Source organism: Homo sapiens, chromosome X (assembly GCF_000001405.40).
Source record: "Homo sapiens chromosome X, GRCh38.p14 Primary Assembly".
NCBI classification, from domain to species: Eukaryota; Metazoa; Chordata; class Mammalia; order Primates; family Hominidae; genus Homo; species Homo sapiens.
The window spans coordinates 131,745,783-131,772,587 of NC_000023.11; the positions used below are offsets into that span (position 1 = coordinate 131,745,783).

The following is a 26,805-nucleotide window of genomic DNA, read 5'->3' on the forward strand; positions in this document are numbered from 1 at the left end:
CCTATCTCAGACTCCCAAAGTGCTAGGATTATAGGCATGAGGTGTCATGCCCGGCCACCCAGTAGTATAACTGTTATAAACAAGTTTTCTTCACTGATAATTTGAGCACTTTTCTAATATAATTAATTATCCATAGAAATAATGATAGGTTTAAAAGTATTGGCACTTTTTAGAACTGAGTTTGTAAAATTCATATAACATAAAATTAGCCATTAAAATGTGTGAAATTGAGTGGCATTTAGTACATTCAAGATGCCGTGCAAGCATTACCACTACATAGTGGCAAATCATTTTCATTACCACAAAACAAAACCCCGGACCCATTAAGCAGTCATTCCGCATTGGGCTCTCTCTCTGCCCAGTCCCTGACAAACACTCATCTGCTTTCCCTCACTACTGATCATAACAAGTGGCCGTTTTCAACTTCCTTCTTTCACTTAGCTTGTTTCAAATTTCATGTATTGGTTATCTATCTCTTTGATATCTACCTTTGTTGTTGTACCTGCATCCACACAATTTATCACCTTAAGGAGACAATTTTATGCCATGAAACTTGCTGGACCTGTAACTGTGTGAAGTAAATCATACCCAGATAGACTCAGTGAGGAGTGTATTTAATTTCTGAAAGAACAAGATTCCTGATGAACCTGGGTGGTTTAGGCCTCATTTTGTTTTCACACGGAGTAAAAAAAGGAAAAATTCAACAGTAAGACCAGGTTGCACCAAACTGGACAAATCTCCAGGAAGCCATGTTGGGTGGTGCCTTTGTCTCTGGGTGGCGTTTTTTTCAGCCAGGAAGGGCGGGAGAAAAGGGCGCCAAGAGAGGGCTTTCTTGAAAATATGGAGTACTACTGCCACCGTGAGGAAATCGTTTAATAACGCAATACGCCATTATAGCTTCTTTCCGGGAAGCCTGGCTGTGGGGGAAGGTCTGATCTGTGCGGTGGTGGAAGAGGTTTGGGCTCCAGGCTAGGTCTTCTTGGCTTCTCCTGGAACTCCTGAAGAGAAACCTGTACATTGGCGATATCTTGGTGTAGAACCTGGAGAGTGAGGGGCTTGCAATGAAGCAGCAGCTGCCCAGCGGTCCTGGCACAGGAAGTCGTGGGGCGGGGTCTCGGTTCCTAGTGTGGGCAGGACTGCAGGAACCCACTCAAACACAAATGGAGGCTCTTGGGGGCATCTGTCTCATGTAATTGCCCCTTGGAGCAAGAGTCAGCTGGCTTTCATGTGCTGTCATCTTGCTATGGGTCTTTGGGTCTCTGGTAGCATAAGTACCGCGCAAAATCAACAAAGGTATTCAAAGGGAAGTTTACAGGATTTGCTATTAGAACCTTCACTCTCCAGGTTCTATACCAAAATATCGCCAATGTCCATGTCTCTTTTAAGGCCTTAGACAAGAAGGCAAGGACTCCCAGCCTGGAGCCCAAGCCTCTTCCACTTCCCCACAGACCAGTCCTTCCCCAACAGGTAGTCCTCAGAGAACGCTGTAATAATGGCGTAGGGATTCACTAAACGACTTCCTCGCGATGGCAGTAGTGCTCCAGATATGCCAAGAAGCCCTGTCTTTGAGCCAAGGTCTTCCGCCCTTCCTGTCTGAGAAAACGCCACCTATAGACAAATCACAACCAAACGTGGATGCCTTCTATTTTGCCCAGTTGGTAGTCAGCTGGTCTTACTGCTGCACTTTTTCTTTTTGTTTTGCGCTTGAAATCAAACCAAGGCCTAAACCACCTGCCTCCATCAGGAATCTTGATCTTTCAAAAATGAAATCTCCTCCTGACCTAGTCTGTGTAGGTTTGATTTACTTCAGAGTTACAGGACCAGTAATTTCCGTGGCATCAAACTGTCTCTTTCAGGGGATAAATTCGGTGGATGGACATACAAAAAGAAAAGGGCTTAAAGCTTGGAAAAGATCTTTCCAGTAAACAATTAAAAAATCCCAGGGGGAAGGGTGCGGTGGCTCACGCCTGTAATTACGGCACTTTAGGAGGCCAAAGCGGGCAGATTGACTGAGGTCAGGAGTTGGAGACCAGCCTGGCCTACGTGGTGAAACTCCGTTTCTACTAAAAATGCAAAAATTAGCTGGGGGTGGTGGCGGGCGTCTGTAATCTCAGCTACTCAAGAGTCTCAGGTAGGAGAATTGTTTGAACCCAGGAGACAGAGGTTGCAGTGAGCCGAGATTGTGCCACTGCGCTCCAGCCTGGGCGACAGAGCAAGACTCGGTCTCAAAAAAAAAAAAAAAAAAAAAAATCCCAGGGATCTTGGACCTGGCTCCCTGATCAGACATCCAGGGAGTTCTTCGTATTCTAAGAGCCTTCTGTAGTGCATTGTAGGCAACAATTTCGCATGAGCCATTAGAGGAGAAACCAGGTTACGCACATTACCACATGCCATATATATTCCAAATGACATGATACTCATAGTACATATGTTTAATTCCTGTCAAGGTGGCTCAGAGTTTCATCTCATGGTCTCATCATTTAACATCAAAACACAGCATGTCACCATGCCATTACATATTCTTCAAATATTTCCTGAGAATTTATGGGGTGTGTGTGTTCGTGTTTGTGTTTGTGTGTGTCTCTGAAAGTTTTATAATTTGTCTTTTAGGTATAAGGATTACAGTACTCTCCAACTAGTAAATTGAAGCATAATGCTTGACAAAGATTAAGAAAAATCCATGTATTAATAATGAAGAAAACTGCTACCATACAACTTGTCAAGGCAACTCATGAACTTTTGGATTATTTCCATGCATATCTTTCAATATGTACATACACTGTTAATTTCATGCAAAAAATAAATGTGTTAAAAGTGGATTACTGTGCACACTGTGGTGTGGATAAGACCAAGTGTGTATTTTACCGAATCTTTCAGATGTGTGAATTCATTTGAATGTCAACCGTACTAAGTTTATATGTCAACATGTCACGCCTTCAATATAAATAAAGGTAAATCTTAAAATAGGGCCTCAGGAATATTGCCTTAGAAAAGTAGACACTATCGCCGGGCGTAGTGGCTCACGCCTGTAATCCCAGCACTTTGGGAGGCCGAGGCGGGTAGATCACAAGGTCAGGAGATCAAGACCATTCTGGCTAACACGGTGAAACCCTGTCTCTACTAAAAATACAAAAAAAAAAAAAAATTAGTGGGGCATGGTGGCGGGCGCCTGTAGTCCCAGCTACTTGGGAGGCTGAGGCAGGAGAATGGCGTGAACCCGGGAGGGAGCTTGCAGTGAGCCGAGATTGTACCACTGCACTCCAGCCTGGGCGACAGAGCGAGACACTGCCTCAAAAAAAAAAAAAAAGAAAGAAAGAAAGAAAGAAAAGTAGACACTATCAGCTTTTTGTCTGAATGTTTACAGATACATCCCTACATGTTTCAATAAAAAGGCCATGAAGAGACAAAGACACCAGAAACTATGACTACCTAACATTTCGCTCAATTTGTGTAAACATATTCCACTCTTAGCCATTTGCTTTTGGTTTCCATTGGATATTAAACTGAGAGGTTATCCACTCACCCTCATAAAGTATCTCCTCTCTTTAAGAACTCAGTTTCTGCACAACCAAGTCTTCCCATTTCTACTCTTTTTCACTCAGCATCGTATCTGCAGTATTTTATTATGATGTCAAAGAGTCTTCTTGTATTGGGAACAGACCTTAGTGATCCATGCCTAAGGAGAGAAGAGAAAAAAAGCTTACCCTTAAGGTCTTGGAGAAGAGCAAATCTAGGCACCAGGCCATGTGGTTCTTGTCCTGACTGCCTACCCAGGTTCCCTAGCAGTTCTACTCCATATCTGACCTAGGCAGTAGGCCTTACATGTTGAGGGGGAGGCCGATATGTAGTGGAGCTCTAACATAAGGGTACGGATAGCTCTCCAGCCTGACAAGACCCACACAGCCCTATTTGAATGGACACAAATACACAAATGACTATAAATGCTAATCAGATAGATAACAGGATTTTGTCTCATGGTTTCATTATTTAACATTGGAACAGAAATATTTTCCAGTGTCTTTAAAAGGCTGTGACTTACGACTGTGTCCTGTGACTTTGTTTTGTATGTGTCTTATTGTTTTTCAGTTAGGAATCAGTCCTGTATTTTCTCATTATTAACAAAGCCATGGAACTTGCAAAGAAGATAAAAATAACCATGTGCTGATCAGGAGAAAATCGATGCCATAAAATTGTGTATTAAACACTGATAAACAGTTCCATATTATGGGCCGGACGTGGTGGCTCACACCTGTAATCCCAGCAGTTTGGGAGGCCGAGACGGGCAGAACACGAGGTCAGGAGTTTGAGACCAGCCTGGCCAGCATGGTGAAACCCCATCTCTACTAAAAATACAAAAAATTAGCCGGGCATGGTGGCGCATGCCTGTAGTCCCAGCTACTCAGAAGGCTGAGGCAGAATTGCTTGAACCCAGCAGGCGGAGGCTGTAGTGAGCCGAGATCACGCCATTGCATTCCAGCCTGGGCGACAGAGCGAGACTCTGTTTCAAAACCAAACAAACGAACAGTTCCATATTTACTCCCATTTTTTCAACACAGAGAAAAAGTTCTATCTATACAGTTAAACACGACAATAAATTTACATTTTAGTTGAATTTAGCTATACATAAGGTTGAAGAAAGTTTCACATATGATTCCTGAGTTTTTCATATTCTCATAAAAAATTTGCAATATCTAAATTTAAGACAATAAAATATTTGCAGAGAACTTCTTGATTGGACTATTCATGAAAACATAAGTACTCGGCCGGTCGCGGTGGCTCACGCCAATAATCCTAGCACTTTGGGAGGCCGAGGCGGGTGGATCACAAGGTCAAGAGTTCGAGACCAGCCTGGCCAATATGGTGAAACCTGACTCTACTAAAAATACAAAAATTAGCTGGGCTTGGTGGCAGGCACCTGTAATCCCAGCTACTCAGGAGGCTGAGGCAGTAGAATCACTTGAACACGGGAGGCGGAGGTTGTAGTGAGCAGAGATTGTGCCTCTGTACTCTAGCCTCTGCGACAGAGTGAGACTCCATCTCAAAACAAACAAACAAAAAATAAGTACTCAATTTGTACTTTTAAGTATAATATATATATTTATACACATATAAACATATAAATACATATTTATATGCAATATGAACATATGTATTATACACACTTATACCGCTGAAAACTGAAATTTTTAATTCTCCTTGAATTTTTATTCCTAATTCTTTCCTTAAAAATTGATCTTTGAAATCTCAAAGGAAAGATAACAAAACTCAATAAATGATAGTTGAAATAGGCATCTCTCACATTCAGTCACCTTGATGTGTGACCTAAGAAAACTGTAAGATGGATGCATTCACACAACTCACATGCCACTAGAATGCTTCATTAGTGTCTCTGTTTATATAATGATGAATTAAAGACACGATTTGTTGGCCAAAAATACCATCTTCAAACATATACTCACTATAACACCTATCAGGATTAAAAATATATAGCATTGGCCAGACACAGTGGCTCACAACTGTAATCCCAGCACTTTGGGAGGCCAAGGAGGTGGATAGCTTGAGCCCAGGAGTTCAAGACTAGTCCTGGCAATGTAGTGAGACCCCGTGTCTACAAAAAATCCAAAAAATAGCCAGGCATGGTGGCTTGCAATGGAAACCCCAGCTACTTAGGTAGTGGAGGTAGGAGGACCACAGGAGCCCAGGGAGGTTGATACTGCGGTGAACCATGATCATGCCATTGCACTCCAGCCTGGGCAACAGAGTGAGACGCTGTCTAAAAAAAAAAAAAAATATATATATATATATATATATATATATATATATATATATATATGGCATTTAAAATTTTGTAATATACCTACAGATATAAATACAGACACAACACAGTTTACTCTAAATATAATTGGATTCATATTGTTTGAAATTTTCTACAAAATCTTCAGCATCACCTTATACTCTTTGAATGTATCTACATCAGTATTTACTTTTGAGTGTTTGAATTTTTTTCATATTTTACTCTAGAACTTTAAGAAATTATAAAGCCGAAAACATATGATAGGTCAACCACAGTGAAAAGAAATAATCAATTTTCCCTATGCACATATAATATGGACTTTATAAACTAATGTTCAAATTCCCCTGTAGTGCAACTGGTTCTTTTTCTTTCTTTCTTTCTTTTTTTAAATTTTAGATATGGGGTTTCGCTATGTTGACCAGACCGATCTCGAACTCCTGGCCTCAAGCGATCCACCCAACTCTGCCTCCCAAAGTGCTAGTATTAGAGGCATGAGGCACCAAGCCTGGCTGCCTTGTAGTATATCTGTTAAAACAAGTTTTCTTCACTGAAAACTTGAGTACTTTTCAAATATAATTAATTATTCATGGAAATAATGATAGGTTTAAAAGTACTGGCACTTTTAAAAACTGAGTTTGTATAATTCATAAAACATAAAATTAACCATTAAAATGTGTGAAATTTAGTGGCATTTAGTATATTCACAATGCAGTGCAAGCATTACCACTATCTAGTGGCAAATCATTTTCATTACATTCAACTTGCTGGACCTGTAACTGTGTGAGGTAAATCATACCCAGATAGACTCAGTGAGCAGTATATTTAATTTCTGAAAGAACAAGATTCTTGATGAGCATGGGTGGTTTAGGCCTCATTTTGTTTAGAGATGGAAAAAAAAAAAGCGAAAATTCAACAGTAAGACCAGGTTGCACCAAACTGGACAAATCTCCAGGCAGCCATATTGGGTGGCGCCTTTGTCTCTGAGTGGCGTTTTTTCAGACGGGAAGGGTGGGAGAAAAGGGCGCCAAGATAGGGATTCCTTGAAAATGTGAAGCACGACTGCCACCGTGAGGAAATCGTTTAAAGACACAATACGCCATTACAGCGTCCTTCCTGGAAAGATTCGCTGTGGGGAAAAGTCTGAACAGTGGGAGGTGGCAGACGCTTGGGCTCCAGGCTAGGTCTTCTTGCTTTCTCCTCTAAGGCCTGAAGAGAGGCCTTAACATTGGCGGTATCTTGGTGTAGAACCTGGAGTGCGATGGGCTCGAAGTCAACCAGCAGCTGCCAGGAGGTCCCGGCACAGGAAATCGTGGGGCCGGGCCCCAGTTCCTCCTGGTGTGGGCAGGACTGCAGGAACCCACTCAAACACACATGGAGGCTCTTGCGGGCATCTATCTCTTATTCCTGTCCCTTGGAGCAAGAGTCAGCCAACGTTCTCGTGCTGGCTATGGGTCTTTGGGTCTCTGGTAGCATCAGTACCGCGCACATAGAACAGGGTTATTCCAGGGGAAGTTTATAGGATTTGCTTTCAGAACGTTCAATCTCCATGTTCTATACCAAGATACCGCCCATATCCAGGTCTCTTTTAAGGCCTTAGAGGAGAAGACAAGGACTCCTACCTAGCATGGAGCCCAAGCCTCTTCCACCTCCCCACAGACCAGACCTTGGCCAACAGGTAGTCCTCACGGGGAAGAACACTGTAATGGTGGAAGGGTTTTTTTTTAAACGATATCCGCGCGATGGCAGTATTGCTCCACATACAGGAAGAAGCCCCGGTTCAAAGTCCTCTTCTCCCGCCCTTCCTGCCTCAAAAAAAAGCCACCCATAGACAAGCGTTCCAAACCTGGATGCTTTATATCTTGCAGTTTGGAGCTTGCCGGTCTTACTGCTGCACTTTTTCTTTTTATTTTCAACTTGAAATCAAACTAAAGGCCGGGCGCGGTGGCTCACGCCTGTAATCCCAGCACTTTGGGAGGCCAAGGAGGGCAGATCACCTGAGGTCGGGAATTCGAGACCAGCCTGACCAACATGGAGAAACCCCGTCTGTATTAAAAATACAAAATTAGCCGGGTGTGGTGACGCATGCCTGTAATCCCTGCTACTCGGGAGGCTGAGATAGGAGAATCGCTTGAACCCAGGAGGCAGAGGTTGAGGGATCGCGCCACTGCACTCCAGCCTGGGCAACAAGAGAGAAACTCCGTCTCAAATAAAAAAAAAAAAAGAAGAAAGAAAGAAAAGAAAACAAATCAAACCAAGGCCTAAACCACCTGCCCTTGTTCTATCAAAAATTACATATTCTCCTGAACTAGTCTGTGTTAGTTTGATTTGCTTCAGAGTTACAGGTCCAGTAATTTCCGTGGCATCAAACCGTCTCTTTCAGCGGATAAATTCGGTGGGTGAAAACACAAAAAGGAGAAAAGGGCTGAAAGCAGAAAAGATCTTCTCCGGCAAACAATTTAAAAATCCCAGAGGTCGGCCGGGCGTGGTGGCTCACGACTGTAATCCTAGCACTTTGAGAGGCCAAGGCGGGCGGATCACGAGTTCAAGAGATCGAGACTATCCTGGCCAACATGGTGAAACCCCATCTCTACTAAAAATACAAAAATTAGCCGGGCGTGGTGGTGGGCTGTAGTCCCAGCTACTCGGGAGGCTGAGGCAGTAGAATCGCTTGAAACCGGGAGGTGGAGGTTGCAGTGAGCCGAGATCGCACCACTGTACTCCAGCCTGGGGACACAGCGAGACTCCGTCTCAAAAAAACAAAACAAAACAAAACAAAAAATCCCAGAGGTCTTTGACCTGGCTCCCCTGTGAGACATCCAGGGAGTTCTCCCTATTCTGAGAGCCTTCTGAGCCTTCTGTGGTGCATTGTAGGCAACAATTTGGCATGAGCCACTAGAGGAGAAACCAGGTGATGCTCATTACTGCATGCCATATATACTCCACATGGCATGATATTCAAAGTACATATGTTTAATTCCTGTCACGGTTACTCCGAGTTTCGTCTAATGGTCTCATCGTTTAACATCAAAACACAACATGTGCCCATGCCATTAAATATTCTTCAAGTATTTCCTGAGACTTTATGGACTGTGTGTGTTTATAATTATATGTTTCTCTGAGAGTTTTATAATTTGTCTTTTAGGTGTAAGGATTACAGTATTCTCCAAATAGTAAATTAAAGAATAATGCTTGACAAATATTAAGAATAGTCCATGTATTAATAATGAAGAAAACCGCTACAATACAACTTGTCAAGGCAACTCATTTGGATTATTTCCATGCATATCTTTCAATAAGTACATTGTTAATTTCAGCAAAAAATAAATCTGTATTAAAAGTGGATTACTGTGTACACTGTGATTTGGATCAGACCAAGTGTGTATTTTAAGAAACCTTTGAGGAGCGTGAATTCATTTGAATGTCCACAGTACTAAGTCTTATTTTTCAACATTTCATGCCTTCACTGTAAATAAAGGTAAATCTTTTTTTTTTTTTTTGAGACAGAGTTTTGCTCTTTCGCCCAGGCTGGAGTGCAGAGGCACGATCTCGGCTCACTGCAACCTCTGCCTTCTGGTTTCAAGTGATTCTCCTGCCTCAGCCTCCCGAGTAGCTGGGATTACAGGTGTGTGCCACCACACCCTGCTAATTTTTGTATTTTCAGTAGAGACGGGGTTTCACTATGTTGGCCAGGCTGGTCTCAATCTCCTGACCTCGTGATCGGCCCACCTTGGCCTCCCAAAGCACTGGGATTGCAGGCATGAGCCACTGCACCTGGCAAATAAAGATAAATCTTAAAATTTGACCTCAAGAATATTACTTTAGTAAAGTAGACACTATCAGCTTTTTGTATGAATGTGTACACATACATGACTACACGTTTCAAAAAGAAGGCCATGAAGAAACAAAGACACCAGAAACTATGGCTACCCAATATTTTGCTCAATTCGTGTAAACATATTCCACTCTTAGCCATTTGCTTTTGGTTTCCATTGGATATTAAACAGTGATGTAATCCACTCACCCTCATCAAGCATCTCCTCTTTTCAAGAACTCAGTTACTGCACAACCAAGTCTTCCCATTTCTACTCTTACTCAGCATCATATCTGCAGTGTTTTATTATGATGTCAAATAGTCCTGTAGTTTTGGGTACAGACCTTAGGTTTCCATGCCTAAGGAGAGAAGAAAAAAAAAAGTTTTACCCCTAAGGTCTTTCAGAAGAGCAAATCTAGGCACCAGGCTATGTGGTTCTTGTCCTGACTCCCTACCCAGGTTCCCTAGGAGTTTTACTGCACGATCTGACCTAGTCATTAGGCCTTATATGTTGAGAGGGAGGCTGATATTTAGTGGGGCTCTAACATAAGGGTTCGGACAGCTCTCCAGCCTGAGAAAACACACACAGCCCTACTTGAATGGACACAAATACAGGAATGACTATAAATTCTAATCAGATGGATCACAGAATTTTGTCTCATGGTTTCATTATTTAACATTGGAACAGAAATTTTTTCCAGTGTCATTAAATGGCTATGACTTAAGACTGTCCTATAACTTTGTTGTACATGTGTCTTACTCTTTTTCATTAGGAATAAGTCCTATATTTTCTCATTAGTGACAAGACATAGAACTTGCAAAGTAAAACAGTAACCATATGCTGATGAAGAGAAAAGCAATGTCATAAAACTATATATTAAACACTGATAACCATTTCCATATTCACTCCCTTTTTTTCAATACACAGATAAAAAGTTCTATGTATACAGTCAAACACACAATAAATTTACATTTTAGCTGAATTTAGCTATACTTAAGGTTGAAGAATTAAAAGTTTCACATCTGATTGTTGAGGAGTTTTTGATATTCTCATAAAACATTTGTAATATCTGAATTTTGGACAATAAAATATTTGCAAAGAACTTCTTGATTGGACTATTCATCAAAACATAAGTTCTCAATTTTCACTTTTAAATCTAAAAAATACAGATACATATATAAATATATATACATATATTAATTTTTTTTAGATGGAGTCTCACTCTGTCTCCCAGGCTGGTCTCGAACTCCTGACCTCAGGTGATCCGCCCGCCGCAGCCTCCCAAAGTGCAGGGATTACAGGCATGAGTCACCGCACCTGGCTAAAAAATATATATATATTTAAACATACATAAACATATAAATACATATTTATATACAATATAAACAGATGTATAATACATACTTATACCTCTGAAAATTAGAATTTTTAATTCTTCTAGAATTCTTATTCCTAATTCTTACCTTAAAACTTTATCTTTAAAATCTTCAAAGAAAGATAACAAAATTCAACAAATTGTAGTTGAAATAGGCATCTCACACATTTAGTCACCTAGATGTGTAACCTAAGAAAACTGTACGGCCAGGTGCGGTTGCTCATGCCTGTAATCCCAGCACTTTAGGAGGCCAAGGTGAGCGGATCACGAGGTCAGGAGTTCAAGACCAGCCTGACCAACATGGTGAAACCCCGTCTCCACTAAAAATACAAAAATTAACTGGGCATGGTGACGCATGCCTGTAATCCCAGCTACTTGGGAGGCTGAGGCTGGGGAATTGCTTGAACCGGGACGCAGGAGGTGGAGGTTGCAGTGAGCCGAGATCACGCCACTGAACTCCAGCCTGGGCTACAGAGCGAGACTCTGTCTCACAAAAACAAAAAACAAAAAACAAAAACAAAAACAAAAAGAAAACTGTAAGATGGATGCATTCACACCACTCACATGCAGCTAGAATGCTTCATTAGTGTCTCTGTTTATATAATGATGAATTGAAGATATGAATTTGTTGGCCAAAAATGCCATCTTCAAACATATACTCAGTATAACATGTACCATGATTAAAAATGTATAGCATTGGCTGGGCATAGTGGTTCACAACTGTAATCCCAGCACTTTGGGAGGCCAAGGCAGGTGGACAGCTTGAGCCCAGGAGTTCAAGGTCAGCTCTGGCAATGTAGTGAGACCTCGTCTATACAAAAAATACAAAAAATAGCTGAGCATGGTGGTATGCAATGGAAGCCCCAGCTACATAGAAGGCAGAGGTGGGAGGACCACCTGAGCCCAGGGAGGTTGATGCTGTAGTAAGCCATAATCATACCACTGCACTCCAGCCTGGGCAACAGAGTGAGACACTGTCTAAAAAATCATACATATACAGCATTAAAAATTTTGTAATATACCTAGACAGATATAAATACACACACACTCGACACAGTTTAAATATAATTGGATGCATAATGTTTGAAATTTTGTACAAAATCTTCAGTATCACCTTATACTCATTGAATATATCTACATCAATATATACGTTTGAATGCTTGTAATTTTTTCATATTTTACTCTAGGAGAACTTTATGAAATTATAAAGTAGAAAACATATGGTAGGTCAAACATAATGGAAGAAATAATCACTTTTGCCTATGCACATATAATATGGACTTTTATAAACTAATGTTCAAATTCCCCTGTAGTATAACTGTTTTTTATTTATATTTTTAAAAAAAATTTTAGATATGGGGCTTCGCTATGTTGATCAGGTTGATCTTGATCTCCTGGCCTAGAGTGATGCTCCCATCTCAGCCTCCCAAAGTGCTAGGATTAGAGGCATGAGGCACCGTGCCCGGCCACCTTGTAGTATAACAGTTAAAATAAGTTTTCTTCACTGATAACTTGAGTACTTCTCAAATAGAATTAATTATTCATGGAAATAATGACAGCTTTAAAAGTATTGGCACTTTTTAAAACTGAGTTTGTAAAGTTCACATAACATAAAATTAACCATTAAAATGTGTGAAATTCAGTGGTATTTAGTACATTCACAATGCAGTGCAAGTACTATCTCTATTGGCAAAGCATTTTCATTACCACAAAAGAAAACCCTGGACCCATTAAGCAGTCATTCCCCATTCCACTCTCTGCCCAGCCCCTGACAAACATTCATCTACTTTCCCTCACTACTGATCATCTCAATAAGTGGTCTTTTTAGTCTTGTTTCCTTCACTTAAGCTGTTTTCAAATTTCTTCCATTCTCTCTCTCTGTTTTTTTTTGTTGTTGTTGTTTAGATGGAGTCTTGCTCTGTTGCCCAGGCTTGAGTGCAGTGGTGCAATCTCGGCTCACTGCAACCTCCGCCTCCTGGGTTCAAGCGATTCTCCTGCCTCAGCCTCCCCAGTAGCTGGGATTACAGGCGCATGCCACTATGCCCGATAATTTTTGTGTTTTTTAGTAGAGACGGGGTTTCACCATGTTGGCCAGGCTGGTCTGGAACTCCTGACCTCATGATCCATCCACCTCGGCTTCCCAAAGTGCTGACATTACAGGCATGAGCCATCGCGCCCGACCATGATATCTTATCTCTTCGATATAAATTGGGTTATCTATCTTTTTGTTTCTAGGTTTTAAGAGTTCTTTATATGTACTGGGTATTAGAAGTTTCTAGATAATTGATATACAAATGTTTCCTCACATTGTGTCAATTGGCTTTTCAAGTTCTTGATAGTGTATATTGATGCAAAAAGTTTTTAATTTCAGGAAAGTCCAATTTATATTTTCTTTTGTTAATTGGTGCTTTTGGTGGTATAGCTAAAAAATCATTGCCAAATCTAAAGTCGTGACGATTTATCCCTATAGTGTCCCTGAAGGTTTCATAGCTTTAGCTCTTACATTTAGAAATTTGATACATTTTGACTTATTTTTGGATATAATGTGAGGCAGAGGACTAAATTCATCCTTTTTTTTTTTTTTTTTTTTGAGACGGAGTCTCACTCTGTCACCCAGGATCCTTAAATTTTTTCTTTCTTTTCTTTTTTTGAGACGGAGTCTCTCTCTGTCACCCAGGCTGTAGTGCAGTGGCACAATCTCCGCTGACTGCAAGCTCCGCCTCCCGGGTTCACGCCATTCTCCTGCCTCAGCTTCCTGAGTAGCTGGGACTACAGGCGCCCGCCACCACGCCCGGCTATTTTTTTTTTTTGTATTGTTTAGTAGAGACAGGGTTTCGCCGCGTTAGTCAGGATGGTCTGGATCTCCTGACCTTGTGATCCGCCCACCTCAGCCTCCCAAAGTGCTGGATTACTGGCGTGAGCCACAGCGCCCGGCCTAAATTCATCCTTTTGCATATGCATAACCAGTTGTCTATGTACTATTTGTTAAAGACTCTATTAATTACTCATAAAATGACCTGAATAACTTTGTCAAAAATGAATTGACCACAACGTCTGGGTTTATTTCCAGACTCTCCATCTCTTCCATTAATCACTGTGTGTATTCTTATTTAATTATCACACTGCTTTGATTACTCTAGCTTTTCTAGTAAGTTTTGAAATATAGAAGTGTGAGTCTTCTACCTTGGTTTTTCTTATTCAAACTTTACATTGGTTATCAGATCTCTGGCAATTTAATAGGATCTTTAGAATTTGTGCTCCTTTTTTACAAAAACAAACAATGCTCATTGGGATAATAATGATTGCATTAAATTTATAGATCTCAGTGGGTAGTATTGGTATGTTAAAAATATTTTGTCTTCCAACCCACTACCACAGGATGTCCTTTTTTAAAATCAAGGTTATCTTTAACTTCTTCTCCAATATTTTGTGATTTTCAATGTATAAGACTTTCATCTATTAACTATTGTCCTAAAAATATGATTCATTTTGATGCTATTGTAAAGGGAATTGCTTTCTTAATTTAATTTTCAGATTATTCATTGCTAGTGTACACAAATAAAACTACAACTGATTTTTCCGAGTTAATGTTCTATCCTGCTGTGCTTGCTAGATACTGTTCACTAGCTCTAATATTGTTGTTTTCTGGATTTTTAAGCATTTTTTACAAGATCATCGTATTTGTGAAGAGAAATAATTTCCATTTTTTCTTTTCAATTGGGATGTATTTTATATATCTTCATTGCCTGACGCCCTGGGCTAAAATTTTAAGTATAATGTTCAATACAAGTGGCAAAAGTAGGTGTTCTTCTCCTGTTCCTGATTTTAGAAGCAAAGCTTTCAGTCGTTCCCTCTTGACTATATTATTAGCTGTAGGTTTTTAATTAATGCCCCATATATCGTGCTGAGAAAATGATCTTCTAATTATACATTATTAACTGTTTTGAGTTGCTTTTCTGGAGAGATGGACTACAGAAAGTGTCTACTGCACCATTGTCATTGATGTCACTTTTGCCATCTGTTTTTGAATTTACTGAAACACTCATGCTTCTTCAAAATGTGCCTGACACAATAGTCATACATGAAAAAGTAAAGTTGTTACAGTTAGTTACATAGGCAATAAGCAGGGCAGGAAAGGACTCTCCCCCACCCAATAGAAATGTCACATGATGGTTCAGCAATGATCACATTGTCTCCCTAAAAATGATAATTTGGTAGCAAGGGAGAGGCAATCTCCTGATGGCCCACACCTGATAATATTAAAAGTGTGAACTGAATGCAGGCCCCAGGGAGAAGCAGCTTCTTGGGCATGCGTATTAAGACACAAAATGGCGAAATATGATGTTCCGGGTACATGCCACCAGAAAAAGGAAAAAAGCCTCAGATGGGCATGTGTATAACTCCCTAAACACACTGCACAGTGCTCAATTCCAAAGGGTAAGGAGGGCACTGCGCATGCGGAAAGCTCACCCTAAAGGAAGAATCATGAGCAAGAGGTAAGCCTATAAGGTCCCATGATCAAGGTTAAAAGGTCTTTTTGTTCTCTTGGCCACTCAGGCACCCACTTGGATCTCTTCCAAGGGTTCTTTCTTTCCTTTCTTTCCTGTTCTAAAGCCTGTTAAATAAACTTCCACTCCTGCTCTGAATCTTGCCTCAGTCTCTTTTTCTGCTTTATGACCCTCAGTCGAGTTATTTCTTTGGAGGAGGCAAGGACTGAAGTTGCTGTCGACCTATATAGATATGCCGCCTGTTACTCGGGGTAACTCGGTTCACTGCCACCGCTAACAAAGTGAGATCATGGGTAATGCTACCTCCCACAGACAAGCACTTTTAAAATGTGGATTAATTTTCAATCCTTTTCACTCCTTTTGTTTCCCATCCCTTTATGTGTAACAACTCCACTAAGAAAGTAAATAAACAAAAAATAAAAAGGAACGGCCGGGCACAGTTGCTTAAGCCTGTAATCCAGCACACTGGGGGGCCGAGACGGGCTGATCACATGAAGTCAGGAGTTCGAGACCACCCTGACCCACATGGTGAAACCCCGTCTCTACTAAAAATACAAAAATTAGCCAAACGTGGTGGAGCCCATCTGTAGTCTCAGCTGTTCGGGGGGCTGAGACAAGAGAATCCCATCAACCTGGGAGACGGAGGATGCAGTGAGCTGAGATCGTGCTGCTGCACTCCAGGCTGGGCGACAGAGCAAGACTCCATCTAAAAAAACAAAACCAAAAAACAACTCTACTAGAAAATGTAAAACTTTAGGTCCTTTCAGTCTTTAGACAACTAGATGCCCTTGAGACTATCAGCAAACATACTGGCTCCTGCTTTATCACACCTGGAACAGGCCTGTCTTTGGTGTTCTCATACTGCTGCAACAAAGGACTGTGATACAGTAACACTGCCTGAAAGCTTACTAACTCTTGCTCCAAGGGACAGAACAGAACACACACACCCATCCCCCCCACACACAGCATCTAATGTCTCAGGAAATCCCTGAAGAATATGTAATGCATGGGAACATGCTGTGTTCTGGTGTTAAATGTTGAGACCATGAGATGAAACTGAGTGATCTCGATAGGGACTGAACATAGGGACTATGAGGATCACGCCATGTGGAGCATATAGGCCAAGGAGTAATGACCAGATGGTCCTTACTCTATGACTTAAACCAAATTTTTGCCTACAATGCAACACATGAGGCTAGAACATGAACTCTCTGGTTGTCCGAGAGGGGAACCAGGTCAAAGACCACCAGGATTTGTAAACTGTTTGCCAAAGATCTTCCCCAAGTTTCAAATAAATTTTTCCTAATTGTACCTTCATCCACCCAGTTTATCACCTGAAGGAGACAATTTGATGCCATGGAACTTGCTGGACCTGTAACAGTGTGAAGTAAATCATACCCAGATAGTCTCAGTGAGGAGTATATTTAATTTCTGAAAGAACAAGATTCGTGAGGAGCATGGGTGGTTTAGGCCTCATTTTGTTTTCAGATGGAAAGAAAATAGCAAAAATTCAACAGTAAGACAAGGTCGTACCAAACTGGACAAATCTCCTGGTGGCCATGATCCGTGGGGCCTTTGTCTCTGGGTAGCATTTTTTCAGACAGAAAAGGCGGGAGAAGAAAGCTCCTAGACAGAGCTTCCAAGAAAATATGAAGCACTACTGCCACCGTGAGGAAATAGTTTGAAGACAGAATCCGCCATTACAGTATTCTTCCCTGGAAGCCTCGCTGTGGGGGAAGGTCTAATCTATGCTGAGGTGGAAGAGGATTGGGCTCCAGGCTAGGTCTTGTTGCCTTCTCCTCTAAGGTCTTAAGAGAGGCCTGGACATTGGCGGTATCTTGGTGTAGAACCTGGAGAGTGAGGGGCTTGGAGTGAAGCAGCAGCTGCCAGGCAGTCCTGGCACAGGAATTTCCGGGGCAGGGCCTCTATTTCCCCAGTTGTTTGCTGGACAACAGGAACCCACTCAAACACACATGCAGGCTCTTGTGGGCATCTGTCTCCTGTTCCTGCCCCTTGGAGCAAGAGTTGGCAGGCTTTCATGTGCTTGCATCTTGCTACAGGTCTTTGGGTCTCTGGTAGCATCAGTACCGTGTACAAGGAACAGGATTTTACCAAGCGACATTCACAGTATTTACTTTCCTTCACTCTCCAGGTTCTATACCAAGACACTACCAATGTCCAGGTCTTTTTTTTTTTTTGACGGAGTCTCACTGTGTTGCCTAGGCTGGAGTGCAATGGCGAGATCTCGGCTCACTGCAACCTCCCCCTCCCGGGTTCAAGCGATTCTCAGCTTCCTGAGTAGCTGGGATTACAGGCGCCTGCCACCACATCCGACTAATTTTTGTATTTTTAGTAGAGATGGGGTTTTACCATGCTGGCCAGGCTGGTCCTAAACTCCCGACCTCAGACGATCCGCCCGCCTCAGCCTCCCAAAGTGTGGTCTTTGAGGATAGGGCAAGGATGAGCAGCATGGAGCTCAAGCCTCTTCCCCCTCCCCACAGGCCAGACCTTCTCCAACAGGTGGAAGGACTGTCTTCAGGGGAAGGACATTGACATGGCTTAGGCATAGGGCGTAGGGCGTTGCTTAACTATGTCCTAACGGTGGCAGTAGTGCTCTAGATGTGCTAACAGGTGTCGTGGAGCCTTCTTCTCCCGCCCTTCTTGTCTGAAAAAACGCCACCCAAAGACAAAGGCACAAGGAAACATGGCTGCCTTGCTTTTTGCCCAGTTTGGAGTCATCTGGTCTTACTGTGGCAATTTTGCTTTTGTTTTCCATCTGAAATCAAACCAAGGCCGAAACCACCCACCCTCATCAGAAATCTTATTTGTTCAGACATTTAAAATCCTCCTAACCTAGTCTATATGATTACGATTTACCTCAGATTTATAGGTCCAGTACTTTCCATGGCATCAAACTGTCTCCCTCGGGGGATAAATTTGGGGATGAAAGCACAGCGATAAAATTGCTTGAGGCTCCGAGACCACCAGGATTTACAAATCCTGGTGGTCTCTATTCTGGCTCCCCTTCCAGACAACCAGGGAGTTCTTCATGTTTTAGCTCATGTGTTGCATTGCAGACAACAATTTGGCATGAACCATAGAGGAGGGACCAGATAGCTGTCATTACTGCATGCCATATGCGCTCCACATGGCATGATACTCATACTACATATCTTCAGTTCCTATCAAGGTTATTCACAGTTTCATCTCATGGTCTCGTCATTTAACATCAAAACTCGGCATGTTCCCATGACACTACATAGTCTTCAAGTATTTCCTGAGACTTTATGGGGTGTGTCTGTTTGTGTGTGTGTGTGTGTGCATGTGTATTTTATAATTTGTCTTTTAGATATAAGTCTTACAGTATTCTCCCACTAGTTAATTAAAGAATAATGCTTGACAAAGATTGAGAAAAATCAATGTACTAATAAAGATGGAAAGCACTACAATACAATTTGTCTAGGCAATAAATAAATAAATTTGGATTATTTCCATGCACTCCCAGGCTTATTAGGAAGAGGAAATTCCCGCCTAATAAAAGAATATATTTCCATGCATATATTCCCGCCTAATAAATTTTGGTCAGACTGGTTGATCTCAAAAACCCTGTCTCCTGATAAGATGTTATCAATGACAATGGTGCCTGAAACTTCATTAGCAATTTTAATTTCCCCTCGGTCCTGTGATCTCTCCCTGCCTCCACTTGCCTTGTGATATTCTACTACCTTGTAAAGTACTTGATGTCTGTGACCCACACCTATTCGCACACTCCCTCCCCTTTTGAAAATCCCTAATAAAAACTTGCTGGTTTTTGCAGCCTGTGGGGCATCTCAGAACCTACCGACATGTGATGTCTTCCCCAGAAGCCCAGCTTTAAAATTTCTCTCTTTTGTACTCTGTCCCTTTATTTCTCAAGCTGGCCGACGCTTAAGGAAAATAGAAAAGAACCTACGTGAATATCGGGGCTGGTTCCCCGATATATACACATCATTTTTTTTCTTTTTTGAGACTAAAACTCTCTCTGTCTCCCAGCAGGAGTGAAATGGCGAGATCTCGGCTCATTGCAACCTCCAGTTCAAGCGATTCTCCTGCCTCAGCCTCCTGAATAGCTGGGATTACAAGTGCATGCCACTAGGCCTGGTTACTTGGTTTTTTTTGTTTGTTGGTTTTGTTTTTTTTTTTTTTTGAGACGGAGTCTCGCTCTGTCACCCAAGCTGGAGTGCAGTGATGTGATCTCTGCTCAGTGCAACCTCCGTCTCCCAGGTTCAAGTGATTCTCCTCCCTCAGCCTTCTGAGTAGCTGGGACTAAAAGCATATGCCACCTGCCCGGCTAATTTTTGTGTTTTTAGTAGAGACAGAGTTTCACCATGTTAGCCAGAATGGTCTCCATCTCCCAACCTCGTGATCTGCCCGCCTAGGCCTCCCAAAGTGCTGGGATTACAGGCGTGAGCCACCTGGACCATCCCCAATTGTTTTGTATTTTTAGTAGACACAGGATTTCACCATGTTGGCCAGGCTGTTCTCCAACTCCTCACCGCAAGTGATCCAATCACCCTGGCCTCCCAAAGTGCTGGGATTACAGGTGTGAGCCACCACGCCCGGCTATATATACATTCCTAATTTCATGCAAATAACAAATCTGTATTGAAATTGGGTCACACTCTACACTGTGGTTTGGAGCAGATCAAGTGTGTATTTTAACAAAGCTTTCAGGAGGATGAATTCATTTGAATATCATAAATGGTAAATGTTTTCAACATTGCAAGCCTTCAGTGTAAATGAAGGTAACTCTGAAAAATATATGCTCAGAAACATTCCTTTAGAAATGTAGACACCATTCATTTTTTGTTTAAATTTTTACAGATGCATCACAACGTGCGTATTGGCTCTCTAGAATACATACATGACTATATGTTTGGTTTAAGGTTATGACATGTTAGAAGTAGAGTAAAATGCACTGGGCGCGGTGGCTCATGCCTGTAATCCCAGCACTTTGAGAGGCCGAGGCGGGCGGATCATGAGGTCAGGAGATCGAGACCTTCCTGGCTAACACGGTGAAACCTCGTCTCTACTAAAAATACAAAAAATTAGCCAGACGTGGTGGCTGGCGTCTGTAGTCCCAGCTACTCAGGAGGCTGAGGCAGGAGAATGGTGTGAACCCAGGAAGCAGGGCTTGCAGTGAGCCGAGATTGCGCCACTGCACTCCAGCCTGGGTGAAAGAGCGAGACTCCACCTCAAAAAAAAAAAAAAAAAAAAGAGTAGAGTAAAATACACTTTACTTTGTTATTTATTATTTATCTTATGGTGTGGTAGGTTTAATCCACAAGGTTCAACAATTTGCTATTCTCCCTAAATCAGAGGCAAGGAATGGCTGTTTACGAGGATACAGAGAATGCAATTAAGATTTTATGATGGCTAAAGGGACTACCTGGTGCAAATGAATGACATGTATCCAACCTAAATGGGAATGATAGGCTCATTGCCCCTCCACACTATCTTCCATTGCAGAATAAACCAATCAACCTCCTTGTCACTACCACTGGTACTTGGCTAGGTGTGATTTCCTTGCCAGGCTTCTATCCACTGCCCAGGCACACAGCCTCTATTAAAGATAGTTAGCAAGGGGTGAATAAAAGATCACTTAGCCTAAAGAATTCTAGGTTTGGGGACACCAGCATTTCTACCTTCAGATATGAGACACTGTCCCATAGGTAGGTCTGTATTCTTCCATGAAAATGGTCAGGTCAAACTATTCCTCCATAGGAGGTAGTTTAGCAGATGTCTAAGTCTACTTTAGGTGAAATACTCTGGGGAGGTAAGATATCAAGGGTCATGGAGAAATGCTTCCCAGAGAGTCTCCAAGACACTTGTGCATGCCAATAGCATTTATGTATGCAGATCATCATTCAACTAGACAAAGTCAAAGATGTCAAAAAAGCTAGGTTACCCTAGAATGCCTTACCCTGGAATGCCTGCCTGAATCCTCAGAGGCCAGGAGAGGTCATACCTGAACAAGCTCTTGAAGCACTGTAATGTCACAGTGCAGAACCAGACTAACATTAATTCCTTTCATTAAGAATTCAGATACTAAAATAATAAATTCTGAGGAAGAATGTCATGAGGATCAAGTCACCCATACACTTTTAGTCACCATTTTGATTCTCAATTATGAGTCATAAAGTATCTAGAGGTCTCCACACCAAAGGTTGGATATCTTCATTAGGAAATAGATTTGAAGCTGCTACAGAAAATACTAGCTAGGATGCAGTAGATAATGATTTGCTCAGGCCTAAACAATGCCATACTTACCAAGGACATCGAACAGAAAAGAGCCACCTATCTGCCCTCCTTGAGAGAACTGAGATGACATCGGCGTCCTATTATGACAAAAGACTTTCTCCTGAACCTATAACGTCACAGAAGCTGCTGGCTTGTGCGCTCAGATAATTGCTTAGGCCTTCCATTGCATTTTTGGCCTTCATCCTCTTTAGCATATCAGCTCTCCTAAAAGATGATCTGGCCCACATAGGCATCTCAGTGTATCCTTACTGCTCTACAGAGGTCCTTCTAGCTATAGGCAATGGTGGTTAGAATTTTAGTGTATTGAGGACCATGTGAGTGACGCTGACTTCAGATAGATGGTTCCTGGAATTGGCCTGTCATTGCCAGCCAACACTGCTGCTATAAATGTCACAGCCCCACAACACAAGGACAACCAGGTTGCCTAAAGCTCCCAAGGGCATATTCATAACATAAATGCCCCAAGGGTCTGTACTTGGCTGTATCATTTTCTAGCCTTGTCCCCACTATGAGAAAACAGGCCCTGTCCTCTACTTCCTGTGCCAAAACTTCCTGGAAGCAGCTGGCTCAGTCCTGCTCCCTCACTCAGCAGATACTTCACGGAGACTTTGCATTTGTTCATTGCTTCTGCCAGGCCTCAGAGAAAAGGATAGGAAGATCAACTTGTGTCTCGGGTCTGTTCAGCCTTCACTGGCTTTTCCTTCAATTGCTAGGGCTCACATGGAGGAAACGCTCACGGCTTTGGATGCTACGAAACTGTTTCCGCACGATGGCAGTATTGTACGGGAGAAGCCAACTGACTTTGCTCTAGGCGCTATTCTCCCGCCCATCACATTTCAAAAAAAGGCCAAGAAGAGACAAAGACACCAGAAACTAGAACTACTTAGCAGTTTGCTCAATTTGTGTAAACTTATTCCACTCTTAGCATTTTGCTTTTGTTTTCCATTGGATATTAAACCGAGGTGTGATCCACTCACCCTCATCAATCATCTCCTCTTTTCATGAACTCAGTATCTGCACAACCAATCTTCTCATTTATACTCTTCTTCACTCAGTATTATATCTGCTGTGTTTTCTTACATCAAATTGTCTTATAGTACTGGGGCAGACCTCAGGGATCCATGCCTAAGGAAACAACAAACAAACAAAGAAATGTTAACACCTAAGGTCTTGGAGAAGAGCAAATCTAGGCACCAGGCCATGTGGTTCATTTGTTTTTTTTTTTGAGACAGAGTCTTGCTCTGTTGCCCAGGCTGGAGTGCAGTGGCGCTATCTCGGCTCACTGTAAGCTCCGCCTCCCGGGTTCACGCCATTCTCCTGCCTCAGCCTCCTGAGTAGCAGGGACTACAGGCGCCCGCCACCACGACCGGCTAATTTTTTTTTTTTTTTTTTTTTTTTTTTTTTTTTTTTTTTTAGTAGAGACGGGGTTTCACCGCATTAGCCAGGATGGTCTGGATCTCCTGACCTCCTGATCCGACTGCCTCGGCCTCCCAAAGTGCTAGGATTACAGGCGTGAACCACCGAGCCCGGCCAGGCCATGTGGTTCTTGTCCTGACTCCCTACCCAGGTTCCCTAGGAGTTCCATTTCATGTTCTGATCCAGGCATTGGGCCTTATATGTTGAGTGGGAGGCTGCCATTTAGTGGAGCTCTAAGATAAGGGACCAGGTAGTTCTCAAGCTTGACAGAGACACAGAACCCGATTCGAATGGACACAAACACAGGAATGACTATAAATTTTAATCAGATGGATCACAGGATTTTGTCTCATGGTTTCATTATTTAACGTTGGAACACAAACATTTTCCTGTGTCATTAAATGGCCATGGCTTAAGACTGCCCTATAACTTTGCTGTGTATATGTGTTACTGTTTTCCAGTTAGGATTCAGTCCTATATTTTCTCATTAGTAACAAAAAGGTGGAATTTGCAAAGAAGTAAAAAAAAAAAACCCATGTGCTGATCAAGAGAAAAGCAGTCTCATAAAACTGTATATTAAACACTGATACCCTTTTCCATATTTATTCCATTTTTCAATACATAGATAAAAAGTTCTATATATAGTCAACACAATGAATTTACATTTAAATTGGATTTAGCTATGCACTGCATTTTAGTATGAATATTCCATAGTATGAATGAAGATTTTCATTCTAAAATTTGATTTCTGACCAGTTTTTGACATTGTCATATAAAATTTGCAATTTCTGAATTTTGGACAATAAAATATTTGCAAAGAACTATGTGATTGGACTAGTCATTAAGAATTAAGATCTCACCTTGCTTTTTTAATCTATAAAATCTATTTATACATACATAAACACATATATAAATATATATATTTTACATAGTTATGCCTCTGAAAATTAGGATTTTAAAATTATTCTTGAATTTTTATCTCTAATTCTTACCTTCAAATTTTATCTTTAAAATCTCAAAAGAAAGAAAACAAAATTCAATAAATGATAATTGAAATAGGCACATCTCATATTCAGTCACTTAGATGTGAACCCCAGTAAAACTTTAAGATGGATGTATTCACACCACTCACATGAAGCTATAATGTTTCATTAATGTCTCTGTTTATGTAACTATGAATTAAAGATATGAATTTATTGGTCAAAAATATCATATTCAAATGCATGCTCAGTATAACACTGACCATGATATAAAATATATGGCATTGGCCAGGCGTGGTGGCTCACAACTCTAATCCTGGCACTCTTGGAGGCTGAGGCAGGAGGATCACTTGAGCCTGAGAGTTCAAGACCAATTTAGTAATTAGCAATTTTGGCAATGTAGCGAGTCCCTGTCTCTAAAAAAAAAAAAAAAAAAAAAAAATAGCCAGGCATGGTGTCATGCACCTGTAGTCCCAGCTACTCAGGAAGTGGAGGTGAAAGGATCACCTGAGTCCAGGGAGGTTGAGGCTGCACTGAGCCATGATCCTGCCACTGCACTCCAGTCTGGGCAACAGAGTCTGATCCTGTGTAAAAAAAACATATATATGGTATTTAAACATTTGTATATGCATATGAACAGATATGAATACACACAGAGTACCGCACACATTTTACTTTCAATATAACTGGATTCATACTATTTGAAATTTGGTCCAAAATCCTCAGCATCACCTTATAATCTTTGAATATATCCATATCAATATATACTTCTGAGTGCTTGAGTTTTTTTATATTTTACTCTAGAAGAATTTTAAGAATTATAAGCAGAAAACATATGGTAGGTCAAACACAGTGAGAAGAAATAATCACTTTTAAAATGTTTGGGCTACGTATTATGATTTGTTCCTTTGCACATATAATATGTACATTTATAAACTAATGTTCAAATTCCCCTGTAGTATAATTGTTAAAACAAGTTGTTAAAACCCTGGACCCATGAAGCAGTCATTCCCCATGCCACTCTATGCCGAGCCCCTGGCAAACACTCATCTGCTTTCCCTCACTACTGATCATGACAATAAGGGGCCTTTTTCATTTTGCTTTTTTCACTTAGCATGTTTTCAGATTTCATCCATGTTGTAACTGATAACTTGAGTACTTTTCAAATATAATTAGTTATTCCTGGAAATAATGATAGGTTTAAAAATATTGGCACTTTTTAAAACTGTGTTGGTATAATTCATGTAACATATAATTAACCATTAAAATGTGTGAAATTCAGCGGCATTTAGTACATTCACAATGCAGTGCAAGCACTAACTCTGTGTAGTGGCAAATAATTTTCATTACCACAAAAGAAAACCCTGGACCCATGAAGCAGTCATTCCCCATGCCACTCTATGCCGAGCCCCTGGCAAACACTCATCTGCTTTCCCTCACTACTGATCATCACAATAAGGGGCCTTTTTCATTTTGCTTTTTTCACTTAGCATGTTTTCAGATTTCATCCATGTTGTAATATATGTCAGTACTTCATTTCTTTTTGTAGCTGAATAATATCCATATGTATATATCACATTTTGTTTATCCATTCATCAAGTGATTGATGTTTGCTTGTGTTCACCTTTTGGGTATTGTTAATAAATATATACAGTGAGTATATACATGTACTTTTTTGAGTATTTGTTTTCAATTGTTTGCGGAGTATACTTAGGAGTAGAGCTGCTAGGTCATACGGTTATTTCTATGTTTAAATTTTTGAAGGACTGATAAACTTTTCCATAGCAGATGCGCAATTTAGCATACCCACCTTCACTGCAGAAGGGTTCCAATTTCTCCGCCTCCCCACCCATATTTGTTCTTTTTAAGTAATATCCATTCTAGTGGGTGTTAAGTGGTATCATGAAGTGGTTCTGATTTACATTTCTGAAAACACTAATAATGGAAGTATGTTTTCATGTAATTGTTGGTCATTTGTGTATCTTCTTTGGAGAATTGTCTATTTAAGACCTTTGCCTATTCTTAAAATTGATGCATTATAGTTGTACATATTTATGGGGTACACATGGTATTTTGATGTATGCATAAAATGTGTGATAACCAAAAAAGGAAAACTGGGATACTCATTCCCTACTGCATTTATTATTTGTGTTCGGGAACATTTCAAATGTGTTTTATCTATTTGGAAATAACCATTAAATTATTGTCAACTATAGATGTCCTAACTGTGCTGTTGAACACTAGAACTTACTCCTTCTGTCTAACTGTATTTTTGTAGCCATTAACAAACCTGTCTTCATTCCCCTCTCTTCCTAACTTCTGGTACCCACCATTCTACTCTATACATACCATGAGATGGATTCCTTTAGCTCCTACATATGAGTGAGGACATGTGATAATTTGTCTTTCTGTATCTGGCTTATTTCACTTAACATAGTGTCCTAAAGTTCCATTCATGTTGCTGCAGATGACAGAATTCCATTCTTTTTTCTGGCTAAATAATCTTCCATTTTATATGTATGCCACAGTTTCTTAATCCATTCATCCATTAATGAACAGTTAGGTTGATTCCATATCTTGACTACTGTGAATAATGCTGCAATAAACATGAGAATGCATA

At 41.0% G+C, this 26,805-nt stretch overlaps 1 long non-coding RNA gene across 2 annotated transcripts in view, besides 9 other annotated features; it reads right to left on the reverse strand.

Moving 5' to 3' along the window:
- FIRRE (firre intergenic repeating RNA element) overlaps positions 1-26,805 on the reverse strand; it is a 139,119-nt gene that overhangs the window by 54,258 nt on the left and 58,056 nt on the right. For both annotated transcript variants that reach the window (NR_152876.1, NR_026975.2), the window contains 4 exons: positions 22,767-22,914; positions 10,829-10,927; positions 9,816-9,964; positions 3,524-3,676 (listed from right to left, as the gene is read on the reverse strand). This is a non-coding gene — a long non-coding RNA (firre intergenic repeating RNA element). The remainder of the gene's footprint in view (positions 1-3,523; positions 3,677-9,815; positions 9,965-10,828; positions 10,928-22,766; positions 22,915-26,805) is intronic.
- Positions 613-672: an enhancer, noted in NCBI's record as "active region_29955". NCBI's record gives its function as "activates an Ori minimal core promoter by ATAC-STARR-seq in GM12878 lymphoblastoid cells {active_cell/tissue: GM12878}" and the evidence as "EXISTENCE:reporter gene assay evidence [ECO:0000049][PMID:35858748]".
- Positions 843-1,192: an enhancer, noted in NCBI's record as "active region_29956". NCBI's record gives its function as "activates an Ori minimal core promoter by ATAC-STARR-seq in GM12878 lymphoblastoid cells {active_cell/tissue: GM12878}" and the evidence as "EXISTENCE:reporter gene assay evidence [ECO:0000049][PMID:35858748]".
- Positions 1,253-1,312: an enhancer, noted in NCBI's record as "active region_29957". NCBI's record gives its function as "activates an Ori minimal core promoter by ATAC-STARR-seq in GM12878 lymphoblastoid cells {active_cell/tissue: GM12878}" and the evidence as "EXISTENCE:reporter gene assay evidence [ECO:0000049][PMID:35858748]".
- Positions 1,423-1,612: an enhancer, noted in NCBI's record as "active region_29958". NCBI's record gives its function as "activates an Ori minimal core promoter by ATAC-STARR-seq in GM12878 lymphoblastoid cells {active_cell/tissue: GM12878}" and the evidence as "EXISTENCE:reporter gene assay evidence [ECO:0000049][PMID:35858748]".
- Positions 6,893-7,072: an enhancer, noted in NCBI's record as "active region_29959". NCBI's record gives its function as "activates an Ori minimal core promoter by ATAC-STARR-seq in GM12878 lymphoblastoid cells {active_cell/tissue: GM12878}" and the evidence as "EXISTENCE:reporter gene assay evidence [ECO:0000049][PMID:35858748]".
- Positions 7,463-7,622: an enhancer, noted in NCBI's record as "active region_29960". NCBI's record gives its function as "activates an Ori minimal core promoter by ATAC-STARR-seq in GM12878 lymphoblastoid cells {active_cell/tissue: GM12878}" and the evidence as "EXISTENCE:reporter gene assay evidence [ECO:0000049][PMID:35858748]".
- Positions 17,214-17,493: an enhancer, noted in NCBI's record as "active region_29961". NCBI's record gives its function as "activates an Ori minimal core promoter by ATAC-STARR-seq in GM12878 lymphoblastoid cells {active_cell/tissue: GM12878}" and the evidence as "EXISTENCE:reporter gene assay evidence [ECO:0000049][PMID:35858748]".
- Positions 18,546-18,595: an enhancer, noted in NCBI's record as "active region_29962". NCBI's record gives its function as "activates an Ori minimal core promoter by ATAC-STARR-seq in GM12878 lymphoblastoid cells {active_cell/tissue: GM12878}" and the evidence as "EXISTENCE:reporter gene assay evidence [ECO:0000049][PMID:35858748]".
- Positions 22,459-22,753: an enhancer, noted in NCBI's record as "tiled region #13451; K562 Activating DNase matched - State 12:CtcfO". NCBI's record gives its function as "activates a minimal TATA promoter and a strong SV40 promoter by Sharpr-MPRA in K562 cells {active_cell/tissue: K562}" and the evidence as "EXISTENCE:reporter gene assay evidence [ECO:0000049][PMID:27701403]".